The sequence below is a fragment of the Homo sapiens genome, chromosome 19 (assembly GCF_000001405.40).
Source record: "Homo sapiens chromosome 19, GRCh38.p14 Primary Assembly".
Lineage (NCBI taxonomy): Eukaryota > Metazoa > Chordata > Mammalia > Primates > Hominidae > Homo > Homo sapiens.
Genome location: NC_000019.10, coordinates 20,241,564 through 20,257,322, shown reverse-complemented (window position 1 = coordinate 20,257,322; position 15,759 = coordinate 20,241,564). Strand labels below are relative to the sequence as shown.

Sequence of the window (15,759 nt, the reverse complement as noted above, 5' to 3'; positions counted from 1 at the left end):
GAGGCAGGAGAATGGCGTGAACCCGTGAGGCGGAGCTTGCAGTGAGCCGAGATAGTGCCACTGCAGTATTGCCTGGGAGAAAGAGCGAGACTCCGTCTCAAAAAATAAATAAATAAATAAATAAATAATATAATTAGCAAAATCAATAACAAAGTTGAAGGCAGATGTAATCATGAAGAATTTTTGCATTCAACTGAAGTTAATTTTTTACCTCATTTAAACATATTGTTGGATCTTTTAGAGGTTTTGTGTAATCCCCAAGACACTACTAAGAAAATATCTGTATAGATACACAAAAGAAAATAAGAAGAAAATTGAAAGCATATCAATACAAAAATTTAAAAAAAAACACACACACAAAGGCAGAAAAAATGAGAGACAAAGATACAAGAATCAAATAAAACAATTAATAAAGTAACATTGGTCAGGTGCGGCGGCTTATGCCTGTAGTCCCAGCACTTTAGGAAGCCAAGGAAGTTGGATCACTTAAGGTCAGGAATTCAAGCCCAGCCTGGCCAACATGGCATAAATCCATCTGTACTAAAAATACCAAAAATTAGCCAGGCATGGTGGCAGGTGCCTGTGATCCCAGCTACTCAGGTGGCTGAGACAGGAGAATCCCTTGGACCTAGGAGGCAGAGGTTGCAGTGATCTGAGATTGCACCATTGCACTCTAACATGGATGAAAGAGTGAGACTCTGTCACACACACACACACACACACACACACAAATTATTAAGTTTTCCTCTTTCAGAAAACTATTTAAATATATATAATTATCTTTCCAATCAAGAGACATACTTTCAATAAAAAGCCTTTTTAAAAAATTTTACCAGCCTGACCAACATGGCAAAACCCTGTCTCTACAAAAAATACAAAAGTTAGTCAACTATGGTGGTGCCTGCCTGTAATCCCAGCTACTCAGGAGGCTGAGGCAGGAGAATCACTTGAACCCAGAAGGCGGAGGTTGCAGTAAGCCCAGGTCGCACCACGTGCACTCCAGCCTGGGTGACAGAGTGAGACTCCATCTCAAAAAAAAAAAATTTGAAAATCAAGATCCAACTTGCCTTTCTACAAGAGTCACCTCAGATCTAATGACAAAGACTGTAAGTGGTGAGATGGAAGTAGAAATTTCATGTAAATATTAATGAAATGAGAGCAGAAGAGGTCAAAATAATATTACAAAAGCTACATCTTAAGTCAAAAACTGTCATATTTTATAAAATGTACTTTAAGTCAAAACTTCAAAAAGACACAGAAGGGCATTAAACAATACATAGATTCATTCACTGGGAACTTATCACAAATTTGTGTGTATTTGTGTGTGTCTGTGTTTCAAATTAGGGTTTCAAATATATAAAGCAAATACTAACAAAACTGAATAAGCACATAGAGAGAAATATAATTATACTAGGCTATTTCAATACCCCACTTGCTATAATAATAATGACATATTTGAAAATCCATGTTTATTGTGCCAGTATTCACAAAAGACAAAAGGCTGAAGCAACCCAGATGTCTCTTGATTTATAAACATATCAAAAAATGTAACATATACATATGATGAAATATTATCCCACCTTAAAAAAAAATCATGTCATATTTTAAGATGAACCTTGAGAATATTATGTCACCTGAATTAATCCAGTAACAAAATAATGGATACTGTATGATTCCATTTATATGAGGTATCTTAAGAAGTCAAAATCATAAAAAGAGAAAGTGGAAGGTTTGTCCAGTCTAGGGCTGGAGAGAGAGTAAAATTAGCAGTTGTTACTTAATGGGTACTGAGTTTAAGTTTCACAAGATGTAAAGTTTCTAGAAGTCTTTGCATAACAATGCGAATATAATTAACATTCCTGAAATGAACAGCTTTTTTTTGAGACAGGATCTCACTCTGTCACCCAAGAGGGAATGTAGAGGCACAATTTTGACTCCCCCTCAATCTCCAAAGTAGATGGGACCACAGGTGCACACCACCATGCCTGGCAATTATTAATTTTTTTTTAATAGAGAAAGGTCTCCATATGTTGCCCAGGCTGGTCTCAAGCTTTCAGGCTCCAGGGATCCTTCTGTCTTGGCCTCCCAAAATCCTGGGATTACAGATGAGAGCCACAAACATGCCTGGCCATGAAATATACACTTCAATAGATTTAAGATGGTACATTTTATGTGTTTTTAAAATATTTCTTTTGTTCGGGCGTGGTGGCTCACGCCTGTAATCCCAGCATTTTGGGAGGCCGAGGCGGGCAGATCACGAGGTCAGGAGATCGAGACCATCCAGGCTAACACGGTGAAACCCCGTCTCTACTAAAAATACAAAAAATTAGCTGGGCTTGGTGGTGGGCGCCTGTGGTCCCAGCTACTCGGGAGCCTGAGGCAGGAGAATGGCGTTAACCTGGGAGGTGGAGCTTGCAGTGAGCCAAGATCACGCCACTGTACTCCAGCCTGGGCGACAGAGCAAGACTCCGTCTCAAAAAAAAATTCTTTAAAAAAAAAACTGAAAAAAATACAGAATTATAAATCTTTTTGAAAATTACCTTCAAATCACTAAAGTGTTTCTCTCACAAAACGAAATATGTATTCATCATTAAACACATGGTAAAAATAAGACTACCTCCATGACAACTCACTTAGACAAGATAAAACTGCCATTGAAAATCGGCTAAGAAAGAATATAGGATAAGCCATAACTAAAATTGGGGTCACATTTATAAATAAACACACAGACATATGTAATCTGATTGTGATAAACATGCATAATTTATCTCTTAATTAAACCTCAAATTGACTTAAACTGTACAAACAGAATTGCAAATTGTCTAAAATTGTAATACGAAAGTAAAGCCAACAGACACAAAAAACTGATGTTAAGAAACCTACACTGAGGCCAGGCACAGTGGCTTATGCCTGTAATCTTAGCTCCTTGGAAAGCTGAGACACGAGAATTGCTTGAACCCGGGAGGTGGAGGTTGCAGTAAGCCAAGCCCGCACCACTGTACTCCAGCCTGGGTGACAGAGCGTGACTCAGACTCACAAAAACAAAAAAAATTGTCTAGGTAACTGGAATATTTAACTATTACTGTATACTCATCAAATGTGAGTATTTTGAATCATTGGCATGCACTGTGTGGCAGTAAAATTTCAGAGAATAAGGAGTATAATTATAAATAGAAGATTCTAATGAGAAACTTCTAATAAATAGCATTTAAAAGAAACTAGAGTTATATTTGTTTTAAATATATGCTATTCTTACACAAAATGAAACTGCTGTAATCCAACTTTGAAGCAAAGAATAGCCTTACATTGTTAAATATAGAAAATATATATATCTACTTTGCAGAATAGGGTTAGACCCTCTGATATGTAAAACAATTAGAAAATAAACTATGTTGTTATTCAGATATAGGCTGAAGAAAGTAGAGGAAAATTCTGTAATTCCTTTTTGCCAGCAGCAAAATTAAATTTATAAGTAAATATTTTAGTAAATATGGAGTGCCCACTAATTATCTAATTTACTGCAGGCATAATATGCAAATTTTAACAAATTGTTTTAAATATCTGAATCTAAAATTACAGACAAACTTGAAGTAGAAAATAGAAAGTAAAAATGTATAAGGAGAGTGACATCAGTAAGATAAAAAGACTAGCTGGGTGCAGTGGCTCATGCCTGTAATCCCAGCACTTTGGAAGGCCAAGGCGTGCGGATCATGAGGTCAAGAGATTGAGACCATCCTGGCCAACATGGTGAAACCCCATCTCCACTAAAAATAACAAAAAATTAGTCAGGCATGGTGGCAGGTACCTGTAATCCTAGCTACTTGGGAGGCTGAGGCAGGAGAATTGCTTGAACCTGGGAGGCGGAGGTTGCAGTGAGCCAAGATCGTGCCATTGCACTACAGTCTGGGCAAAAAGAGCAAAACTCCACATCAAAAAAAAAAAAAGAAAAAGAAAAAAATGAAAAGACTAAAAGTGCCCTATTTTCATATCCCCTTACAATAAAAATATATATGTGTATGTATATATATATATATATGTGTATGTATATATATCAGCCATACCTGACAAAAATGCCTTTATGCATTGTGGCTCACACATGTAATGACAGCTACATGGTACATTAAGGTTATGTCACTGCTTCAGGCCAGGATTTCGAGACCAGCCTGGGTTATGTAGCAAGATGCCATCTCCAAAATAAGTGCCTCTAAGAGAGATTTGAGATCCAGGGAGGGAGTTGTGAAACACTGTCAAAGCTTAAGATTGAGAAGAGTTTTATTCAGAAGGCAGGCCCTCATTCAGGTGCGAAACTACAGGACCCCTGTTCTTGGCTACAGACCAGGATAAGATTCATCCAACTTGGTCCTACTGAAAATTCAGAACTTACTCTGTAACCATCCCAAACTTTTCCCAGCCACAGTCTGGCAGAGGTCCTGCCATTCCCTGACCTGGAGGAAGGCACACACTTACAGCCATGTAGGCAGGCCTGCAGACTTTGGCCTTTACTGTGGTCCCTGAAGCAATTCAATGACTCAGTTTCAGTTACCTGAGCCACAGTTTATGGTCAGTTCTGCCTATATAGAAACCCACACAGTTACCTGAGGAAATGCTCTTTGGTACTCACTGAAAGCCACACTCATCCACATCCTGATACAAGGCCCAGCATATGCAGACCTGACTGCAAAAACCTGCCCTAGTGTCTGCCCTATGGAACAAAGTCTTGAAGGATATTCAGTCTGTCTAAAAATAAAATGAGAATTACAACTACCAAAGCCCCTGTAACAAGCCAACTAAAGGTGGACCCTAGTGCAGACCCAGCAGCCTTGTGACCAAGCTACAACCCCTCTTCACTACAAATTCAGAGGGCATCTCATCACCCTAAGGGCCAACAAAAGATCTTTACCTTCTAAAATCAGTTTGTGAAAACTTGAAGAGGTATTTGCTGCATTGAATTCAGACACCAATACAAAACTATATTGTGAGCATTGTCAATGCTTCTATTTTGTGTGTGTGTGTGTGTAGGTGTGAGATGCAGTTTTGCTCTTGTTGCCCAGGCTGAAGTGCATTGGTGTGATCTCGGCTCACTGCAACCTCTGCCTCCTGCCTCAAGCGATTCTCCTGTCTCAGCCTCTGGAGTTGCTGGGATTACAGACTCATGTCGACACACCCAGCTAATTTTTGTATTTTTAGTAGAGATGGGGTTTCATCATATTGGTCAGGCTGGTCTCAAACTCCTGACCTCAGGTGATCCACCCGCTTCGGCCTCCCAAAGTGCTGGGATTACAGCTGTGAGCCACAGAGCCTGGCCAGTGCTTCTATTTTAATGTAGCACTGGAAGTATGTGGCAGAAGAATTAGTCAAAGAAATAAAAAAACTATTGAAATAAAAAAAGTAAAAAGTTGCTGTTTGTAGATCATACAATTGTGTATATAAAAAACCATAAACAGTACATTAAAATCTGTCTAAACTATTAAGTACACTCAGTAAATTAGCAAAATACAAAATTAACATACAAGTATATATAGGGTTTCATACACTTTTTTTTTTTTTTTTTGAGGAGTCTTGCTCTTTTGACCAACCTGGAGTGCAATGGTGTGATCTTGACTAACTGCAACTTCCACCTCCTAGGTTCAAGTGATTCTCCTGCCTCAGCCTCCCGAGTAGCTGGGATTACTGACATGCACCACCACACCCAGCTAATTTTTGTATTTTTAGTAGCGACAGGGTTTCTCCGCGTTGGTCAGGCTGGTCTCGAACTCCCCACCTCAGTTGATACACCCACCTCAGTCTCCCAAAGTGCTGGAATTACAGGCGTTGGCCACCGTGCCTGGCTACAGTTTCATACACTTAAAACAAACTATCTAACAAAATAGAGGGAAAAAAATCTTATTTGCTGTAGCATTAAGTAATAAATTTCTGAGAAAAAAATTGACCAAGGAGGTAAAAATCTTTACAATAAAAAATGAAAAAATTAAAGAAGATCCAAATAAATTTTAAAATATTTTGTCTATGGATTGAAAGAATAAATATTAATAAAGTACCATATTATCCAAAGTGATCTATAGATTCAATAGACTTCCTATCAAAATTGCAGTGGCATTTTTTTCACAGTACTGGAAAATACAATTCTAAAATTTACATGAAACTAAAATAAACTTTGAATAGCCAAAGCAATCTTGAGGAAAAGGAATAAAGCAGAAAAATATCATACTTATAATTTCAAACTATATTTCAAGACTTTATAGTAATAAAAACAGAATAGACTGTGCTGAAAAAAATAAACAAAAAAGTGCAACAGAAACTATTACTCTCACACATATCAGACCTGATGCAAAAAGATAACATGAAAAATAATTTTAGTTTCTCTAAATAATGCAAATAGATATTTGCATATCTGCAAAACAATGGAAAAGCAGCCAGATTGTGCAGTCTCTTTTTCGTTTGTCTTGTTTTGTTTTTTTGTGATGGAGTCTCACTCTGTTGCCCAGGCTGGGGTGCAATGGCACGATCTTGGCTCACGGCAAGCTCCGTCTTCTGGGTTCAAGTGATTCTTTGGCCTCAGCCTCCCAAGTAGCTGTGATTATAGGTGCCCAACAACCCCCCTGGCTAATTTTTGTATTTTTAGTAAAGACGAGGTTTCACCATGTTGGTCAGGCTAATCTCGAATTTCTGACCTCAGGTGATCCACTGCCTTAGCCTCCCAAAGTTCTGAGATTACAGGCATGAGCCAATGTGCCCAGCCTGTGCAGTCTCTTATATGCCATGAAGAGGACTTTGGCTCTCACTGTGAACTTGAAGGAAGCTCACCAAAAGAAAAGTGGAATCCTTAGAGAATTTAAAATCATAAGACAGAAGATGCCCCTTTGTAGGAGCAAAATTAAATAAATAAATAAACAAATAACACAGCTGCCCAGGAACTATTTCCTTTGGAACACAGCTTCCTGAATCACATTTTAAAAACTTGCTTTCTCATTGACCTTGGGACCTCTTATCTCTGTCGTCTCTTGTATTCATTTTCACTCACACCTACTTGGGGGTTTGGCAATCATCTCATGTCTCTTCATAGTCAAGGGTTTTTTTCCTTGCTCCAGACAGGTGATCAGGTCTGGCTTAGGACAACAATACCTGTTTTATTAAAAATAAATAACATGAGTCTTGCTCATATTCTCCAATTATAAGCACATTACTAAATGTGCTCAGCAGAGCAGATATAATAAAATATTCTAGTAAATTAATACCAAAATACTAATTCATAACAGAAATTTATAAATATTTAGAAAATACTTTCAGCCAGGTGCAGTGGCTCACACCTGTAATCCTAGCACGTTGGGAGGCTGAGGTGGTGGATAACCTGAGGTCAGGAGTTCAAGACCAGCCTTACCATCATAGAGAAACCCCATCTCTACTAAAAATACAAAAAATTAGCCGGGCATGGTGGCACAGGCCTCTAATCCCAGCTACTCAGGAGGCTGAGGCAAGAGAATTGCTTGAACCCAGGAAGTGGATGTTGTGGTGAGCGGAGATCATACCATTGCACTCCAGCCTGGGCAACAAGAGTGAAACTCTTCAAAAAAAAAAAAAAAAAAAAGGAAAAAAAAAGAAGGAAAGAAGAAAGAAAGAAAGAGAGAAAGAGAGAGAGAAAGAAAGAAGAAAGAAAGAGAAAGAAAGAAACAAAGAAACAAAGAAGGAAAGAAAGAAAGAAAGAAAGAAAGAAAGAAAGAAAGAAAGAAAGAAAGAAAGAAAGAAAGAAAGAAAAAGAGAAAGAAAGAAAAAAAAAGGAAGGAAGAATACTTTCAATATGCCGGTTTCTTAATTTTACTATCTGGTACTACTGAATCAAAAATTGGTGGTGGCAATTAGATTTTCAGGTGGGGCAACAATATTTTATGCCACTAAGTTTCTGGAATTACCACTAATTTAGAGTGAAGAATACAGCTCAACTCAGGAATGTGGAAAGTCTGGATTAAGATGAAACATCTTGAAGAAATTCTTTTCTAAATGAACAAATTCTGAAGATTTTCTGGAAAAAGTGGATCTGAAACTCTTTTATGAAAAGAATAAATTACTAAAAAAATTCTGCAAAAAAAGAGAAATAAAATCTTTAGGGTATATTATGAATTATGTATTCAGGTTATCCTCACCAAGGAAGACCAGGTTTCTGTGGTTCTCTAAAATCACATCCCTATATAAATTCCACTGTGCAGTGTCCAGGCAATGCCACTCCTCCAGAGAGAATTCTGTGGCCACATCCCTAAATTGCAGTGGTCCCTGAAACACACACACACACACCTTTACTTAAATGGCCATGAGCAGAATTTTCAATTTGACTTAAGGTGAAATGCGAGCATAAAGAGAACTGGTTCTGACTTATAGGATGACTAAAATTATCCAATAAAATAGTTTTCAACACAGAAATATTCTCTAATATATTCTCTAACTCTGAGAAAAAAGAGCAGCATAAGATCCGCCACATCGGTTCATATATATTTTTCTAGATAATAAAGTATAAAATTGAGGGCATGAACAAGAACACATACAGTTTTGAGTGCTATATTTACATCATACAGAATGAGTTGTGAATATTTTTCTGTGGGGAAAAGAAAGAGAGATCAGATTGTTAATGTGTCCATATAGAAAGTAGACATAAGAGACTCCATTTTAATCTGCAACCCTATCCCCAGCCCTGTGCTCCCTGAGACATGTGCTGTGTCAACTCAGGGTTAAATGGATTAAGGGCTGTGCAAGATGTGCTTTGTTAAACAAATGCTTGAAGGCAGCATGCTCCTTAAGAGTCATCACCACTCCCTAATCTCAAGTACCCAGGGACACAAACACTTCTCAGAATCACTTTGCAGGGGTTGTCTGGGCTCAGTCTCACCTCCCAGGTTTCAGAGGCTGCAGGTTTTATTCAGCTATGGTGGATCCAGGCTGGGATTCCTTCTACCTTTACAGCTGTGGGGGGGTGGTCAAGATGATGGTCTGGGCTCCTTTCCACCGTGGTCGCAAGGGGGATGTGTTCCAATCTTTGATCCACACTCAATCACCTGGGGAGAAAGGGTGAATTGGGGAGAATAAGCTGATGGGGCACCTCTCATTTACACAGGCTGAAATTGTTTGAGTAAATTTCCTAAGGCCTGTAGCTGTAGCTGTCACTGTAACTCAATTTCACCTAACTCTTGTGGAGTGCCTGGGAGTCCCTGTAATATAGGAAGGGGCCTATGATATAATATTTCATAGGGAGAATATCCTGTTCTCTTTGAAGGGTTGCATCAATCTTGAACAGTACCAGGGTTAAAAGTACCGCTTTAATCCTGTTTTCTGACATACTTTCCCTAAACTGTTTTTGATTGTCTGATTCATCCACTCCACCTTTCCGAACTCTGCGGTTGGTAGGCTGCATGCAGTGTCCATGTGATCTCCTATACCTTTGATGTTTACTGTACCAAGTCAGCCACACATGCTGGCCTGTTGTCCAAGCTGATCCATAAGGGCAGTCCAAACCTGGGAATAAGATCTTGAAGAAGCACACGGGTTGCCTCATGAGCTTTCTCAGTTCATGTTGGATAAGCCTCTACCCACCCAGAGTAGGTACCAGGTACAGAGTAGAACTAGTAAATACTTATTACCTCCACGCTTTGGCATTTCTGTGAAGTTCACTTGGAGATCTTCAAAGGGGGCTGCTCCATATGTCTGTATACCTGGCAGAACGGCTGGACCCTGTCTTGCATTGTGCTGTCGGCAGATAACACATCGCTGCGCTACTGTTTTGGCAAGAGCTGATAAATGGGAGATGTAAAAATACCGGCCTAACAACTTTTCAAGTGATTCCTGACCTAGATGGGTAGTTAAATGCACAGCCAGTACAACCTCTGCTCCAAGTAGCTGTGGCACAGCTATTCTCCCATCCGATACCTGGATCCATCCTTCCTTTATTACCTGTCCCCCTTCCACTTGGAAAAAGTTTTTTTCTCCCTTAGAATAGGTAGGTAAAAGTTCAGGTTCTTGAGGGAGAAAGGGGGCTGTGATTGATGCCCGGTAAGGGGTGGATGCTGCCTTTTGAGCCTCCGAGTCCACTCAGGAGTTCCCTAAAGCAACTGTAGTAGGAGTTCACTGGTGTCCTCTGCAGTGCGTGACTGCCATCTTCTGGGGCTTCCACACTGCCTCTAATAATTGCAAGATTTCTTGCTGATACTTTATATCTTTTCCCCCAGAGTTTAACAGGCCTGTTTCTTTATATAATGCTTTATGCACTTGGAGGGTTAAAAAGGCATATCGAGAGTCAGTGTAAATGTTCACAGTCTCACTTAGCTCTAGGGCCCAAGTTAAAGCAATGAGTTCGGCCTCCTGGGCTGAAGAACCCTGGAGGCAATTATTTGGCTTCAATAAAAGCATCCAGAGGTGCATATCCTGCACACCTCTCTCCTTGTGGGTTGATGAAGCTGCTCCCATCCACATATAACTCCAAGTCTACTGATGTCCAAGGCTGGTCCCATAGGTCAGGTTTGCTAACCTGAGCAAACTGAGTGCAACACCTCTATATAGTTATGCTCAACAGGGCTCTCTGATACCGGGAGCAGGGTGGTGGGGTTCAGGCTGTTACAAACTTCAATGGTTATGCAGAGACTTTTACAGAGCAAGCTTTGGTACTTGGTTAGTCTAGCGTTCGTTAGCCAATGATATCCTTTGGTATTCATTAAAGTCACCACAGCATGAGGTGTTTTATGTTTAGGTTTTGCCCAAGAGTTAATTTATCTGTTTCTTGTGCTAGCAGGGCAGTTGCTGCTAAGGCTCTCAAACACGGGGGCCAAACTTTAGAAACCCTGTCCAGTTGTTTAGATAGGTAGGCCACCAGCCTTAGCCAGGGCCCCACAGCCTGGATCAAAACCCCAATTGCCATTTTTTCTCTCTCTGACACATATAGTGTAAATGGCTTTGACAGGTCAGGCAGACCCAGGGCTGGGGCTGACATGAGTTACTCTTTTAATTCATGGAAGGCTTGCTGCTGTTGAGACCCCCATTCAAAAGTTTCCTGGATGCCCCCCTTTGTGACTTGGTACAGAGGTTTGGCCAGTACTGCAAAGTTTGGGATCCATAACCTGCAGATCCCCACAGCTCCTAAGAACTCTCTCACCTGCCTCCTGGTCTTAGGTTCTGGTAGGTTGCAAATGACCTGCTTTCTTTACAGTAAGCACACCGGTTACGCTGCAGACGTGGTCAGTCAGACTGTGTGTTTTCCCCGGGGTCCCCCATTCCTCAGCCCTTTGGGGGAACCCCTTTAATAGCTGTGGCTGGCAGGTCAGCATTTCACCGGGCTTGGCGCTCACTTTCTTTACGGCTTTCTCTACGACCCGTCGCATCTCTATTCACAAACGCCTGATTGGCTATTTCTAATAACTGAAGTGTTCATACCTGCAAACCCAGTCTGTTTCTGAAGCTTTCTTCTAATATCTTCGGCGCTTTGACTAACTAAAGCCACATTAATCATGCACTGATTTTCAGGGCTATCTGAATCAAAGGGAGTATACATACGATATGCCTCACATAGTCTCTCATAAAATTGTGCTGGACTCTCTTCTTTTCCTTGAATGACCTCGGAGACTTTGTTAACATTTGTGGCCTTCTGGGCTCCCTTTTTTAACCCTTCTAGGAGGGCCTCCCTATATCATTTTAGTCTTTTCATGTCTGGCCCTTCATTTGGGTCCCACTGGGAGTCTGTTCCTGGTAATTGGAACCTTACATACTCTTGGACATTTTGGTAATTGGCCAGAGCATGTTCCTCCAGCCACTTAGTTGCTGCCTGGAGCACCCTTCACCTTCCATCTGTGTTAAAGAGGTACATGAGCAGTTGGTGGCAATCAGCCCAAGTAGGGTTATGAGTCTGGATAATAGTTTGGAGCAAATCAAAGCTTGAGGCTTTTCAGTATAAGATGGGGTATTGTTCTTCCAATTGAGGAGATCAGCAGAGGTGAAAGGTTGATACACAAAGGCATGACTTTTTACCACATGCCTGTCCTCATCTACTCCAGTATATCACTGCTCCCTCAGGGGCATCTGTGTTCCAGTCTTAGGTCCTAAATGAGCCACCAAGGGAGGGGTTTCTCCCATGGCTTCACATCCTCTCTTGTTTACTCTGGGTGGTCTAGGGGTGTGTGTGTCCTGTGGAGGCACAGGTGCTGTGGGCTCAGAAGTGGGGGTCTCTCATCTCGATAAGGGGGAGGCATCACTGGTGCCATTTCCTGCCATGAGTCTTCTGATATGGGGTCAGACAGAACTTTAGGAACCGACTTCCCTCGATGGGTGGAGTGGGATTCTTCTTGGCTACCTGTCCTTTGCCACTAACACTGCTGCTGCCTGTCCTCTCAACCACTGTGGGGGGGTCTAAAACTAGCTGTAACCAAGTGTCTATGTACGGGAACTGGTCTGGGTATCCTGGCTTACAAGATATCTTGTGCAATACCTTTGAAACAAGGGACCTGTCCAGGCTTCCTTCTGATGTCCAACCCACTTCTAATGCTGGCCAATCTATTTCACATAAAGATCTAAGTTTCTCTGGTGTCATGGTAACCCCATAGTCTCCTGTAAATCCCTTCTTGAAATTTTTCAGCATAGTTCCAAGTGGGGTAGGCTTACTTTGTGTCTGACCCATTTTTCTCTAGAGACAAGACAAAACTCACACTACAAGAAGGAAAGGGTAAAAGGTCACACACTTGCCTAATTCACACTGTATCAAAATCAAAACCAAAACCATGGTGCCAAGCAATTTAAGCCAAGACAAAATCAAAACCAAAACCAAAATGCCGATAAAGGCACGTCATGGGTGATCAGGCCATGCTTCCCCTCAAATGGAGTGAGCAAGTTTCTAAGACCGGTCTTACCATGTTCCAGATGTCCAGACTCAAGTTGCCAGTTCCTTCCCAGTGTTCAGCCACTGCATTGATCCTCCACAGGGGCCTCCCATGCACTGCACTGACAAGGCATTCCACCAGGGCAATTGCCTACCTGGGAGCACTCTCAGGATCCGTGTCTCTCAGGCTGGCTGGAGTCCCCTACGGGGATGCTCCACAGGACAGGCCTAAGTCACCTAAAAGACTGCCTTGACCAACCACTAATCACCTCACTTCCCAGTCAGGGAACCAAGAAATGTAGCAGGACGAGCCACAGACAAACTCCTCAGACACCAGGTTAAAGAAGGAAGAGGCTTTATTCGGCCAGGAGCATCAGGAGACTTGCGTCTCAAAAGCCGGCTCCCTGAGACAGAAATTTCTGTCCCTTTTAAGGGCTTACAACTCTAAAGGAGTCCACGTGAAAGGGTCATGATTGATTGAGCAAGCATGGGGTACATAACTGAGCGTGTATGCATCGGTAATCCGGACAGAACAGAAAATTTCACAATGCTTCCTCATACAATGCCTGAAATCTATGGATAATACAAGCAGTTAGGTCAGGAGCTGATTTTTAACTACCAGCCCTGGGGAGTGGCCAGGAGCTGTCTAACTATTGATCTCATTTCTGACTTTCTTTAGCTTTTGCTTCCTCTTTTCTTTTTCTGAGGCTTGAGACAAGCAGAAAGGTGGTCTCCTTCCTTACAGTGTCAGGGGATTAGTCTTTCCTTTCTTCTCACTGGAAATATTTACAAACAGAAAACAAATCTTTTCAATAGTGTTAGCCAATGCTTTTTTAAAATGATTAACTGAAGAACATGGGGTACCCTTGAGGCATATGTGAAAAATGCCATGGAAAATCAGTCCCCTATGTGGTATGAAAATAATTATGTGGCAGGCAAATAAACTGAGGAGGCTGTAGTCCTCAAATTCCTACTTCTAAAATAAAAAAATCTAAACTCAAGGACATTTTTTGGTTAATTACTACATTAGGGGTAGGGCCGGGTGTGGCGGCTCATGCCTGTAATCCTAGCATTTTGGGAGGCCGAGGCAGGTGAATCACGAGGTCAGAAGATCAAGACCATCCTGGCTAACATGGTGAAACCCCATCTCTACTAAAAATACACACAAAAAATTAGCCGGGCATGGTGGCATGCACCTGTAGTTCCAGCTACTTGGGAGGCTGAGGCAGGAGAATCACTTGAACCTGGGAGGCGGAGGTTGCAGTGAGCCGAGATCATGCCATTGCACTCCAGCCTGGGCTATACAGTGAGACTCCGTCTCAAAAAAAAAAAAAGTTTTACATTAGGGGAAACAAAATTCAGGCTTAAGCAACTATAAACTGTCAATTAAGCTCTGATTACATAACCAGGAAATTTCCACCTTAATTGAACAAATTAAGAACCTACATAACCATACCTGAGCAATTATTGAATATAGTTTTCTTCATCATGCACCCTATAAATGTCTTTCCTTCAAGCTCCTCCCATGGACCACAAACTACAAACTATAGCTGGGTGCTCGACAATTCTTGAATCACTGTTTGATTAAATTATTTCCATTTTGGCAGAGACACTCATACTTTTTTTTGTTTTTTTGTTTGTTTTTTTGTTTTTAGACAGAGTCTTGCTCTGTCGCCCAGGCTGGAGTACAGTGGCATGATCTCAGCTCACTGCAACCTCCACTCCTGGGTTCAAGTTATTCTCTCACTTCTACCTCCTGAGTAGCCTGGACTAGAGACATTCACCATCACACCCAACTAATTTTTGTATTTTTAGTAGAGATGGGGTTTCCCCATTTTGGCCAGGTTTGTCTTAAACTCCTGACCTCAAGTGATCCACCTGCCTAGACCACCTAAAGTGCTGGGATTACAGGTGTGAGCCACTGCACCTGGCCCCATAAATTTTTTTTGTTTGTTTTTGAGATGGAGTTTTTCTCTGTTGCCCAGGCTGGAGTGCAGTGGCACGATCTTGGCTCACTGCAACCTCCACCTCCCAGGTTCAAGCAATTCTCCTGCCTCAGCCTCCTGAGTAGCTGGGATTACAGGCACACGCCACAATGCCCAGCTAATTTTTTTGTATTTTTTTAGTAGAGATGGGGCTTCACCATATTGTCCAGGCTGGTCTTGAACTTCTGACCTCAAGTGATCTGCCCACCTCAGCCTCCCAAAGTGCTGGGATTACAGGCATGAGTCACCATGCCCAGCCGCTGGCCTCATAAATTTATAATAGGAGAAAAGAGAAATTGTAAACCCTGTGAGATATAATAGATCTCATCCTCCCAAGTAGCTGGGATTACAGGCATGTGGCACCATGCCTGGTTAATTTTTTGTATTTTTAGTAAAGACAGGGTTTCTCCATGTTGGTCAGCCTGGACTCGAACTACCGACCTCAGGTGATCCACCCACCTCGGCCTCCCAAACTCCTGGGATTAAAGGCGTGAACCGCTGGGCCTGGCCTAGCTGCAGCCTTTTCAAACAGGGCTTCCTACCTGAGCTGAGCCAGGCCCATTCCAGAGCATGGGAAAATTCTATCTCTTTTCATTGTCTCTCTTTTTGAATGTATTCAAAAGATGAACGGAAGTATTGTGCTGTCATATTAATAATACATAAAATTTTTGTTCAAGAGAAAATCAACTTTTACTTGTTAATAGTGTATTATCAACACTAAAGCCAATTTTAATAAAACCTTATAAAGCTGGTGCAGTGGCTCACACCTATAATCCTGGCCCTTTGGAAGGCTGAGGCGGTCGGATCAGGAGTTCAGGAAATCGAGACCATCCTGGCTAATACAGTGAAACCCCGTCTCTACTAAACATAAAAAAAATTAGCCGGGCCTCCTGGTATGAGCCTGTGGTCCCAGCTACTAGGGAAGCTGAGGCA

General features: G+C 41.5%; 2 long non-coding RNA genes across 10 annotated transcripts in view, besides 1 other annotated feature; one reads left to right on the top strand and one right to left on the bottom strand.

Annotated features, from left to right (window-relative positions):
* LOC105372310 (uncharacterized) overlaps positions 1-15,759 on the top strand; it is a 148,126-nt gene that overhangs the window by 14,506 nt on the left and 117,861 nt on the right. The window lies entirely within an intron of this gene.
* On the bottom strand, positions 32-9,760 carry LOC102724427 (uncharacterized). Of its 8 annotated transcripts, XR_936396.3 has the most exons (6): positions 9,624-9,760; positions 8,876-9,041; positions 8,139-8,265; positions 7,028-7,122; positions 212-280; positions 37-72 (listed from the first exon to the last, which is right to left on the bottom strand). It is a non-coding gene; the product is annotated as an uncharacterized LOC102724427 (long non-coding RNA). The 8 variants fall into 8 exon arrangements; XR_936400.3 differs by lacking the exon at positions 7,028-7,122; XR_936398.3 differs by lacking the exon at positions 212-280 and having other exon boundaries at positions 59-96.
* Positions 8,456-9,261: an enhancer, noted in NCBI's record as "OCT4-NANOG-H3K27ac-H3K4me1 hESC enhancer chr19:20358871-20359676 (GRCh37/hg19 assembly coordinates)". NCBI's record gives its function as "activates a minimal SCP1, AML or CMV promoter by ChIP-STARR-seq in naive H9 embryonic stem cells {active_cell/tissue: H9 hESC(naive)}" and the evidence as "EXISTENCE:reporter gene assay evidence [ECO:0000049][PMID:30033119]".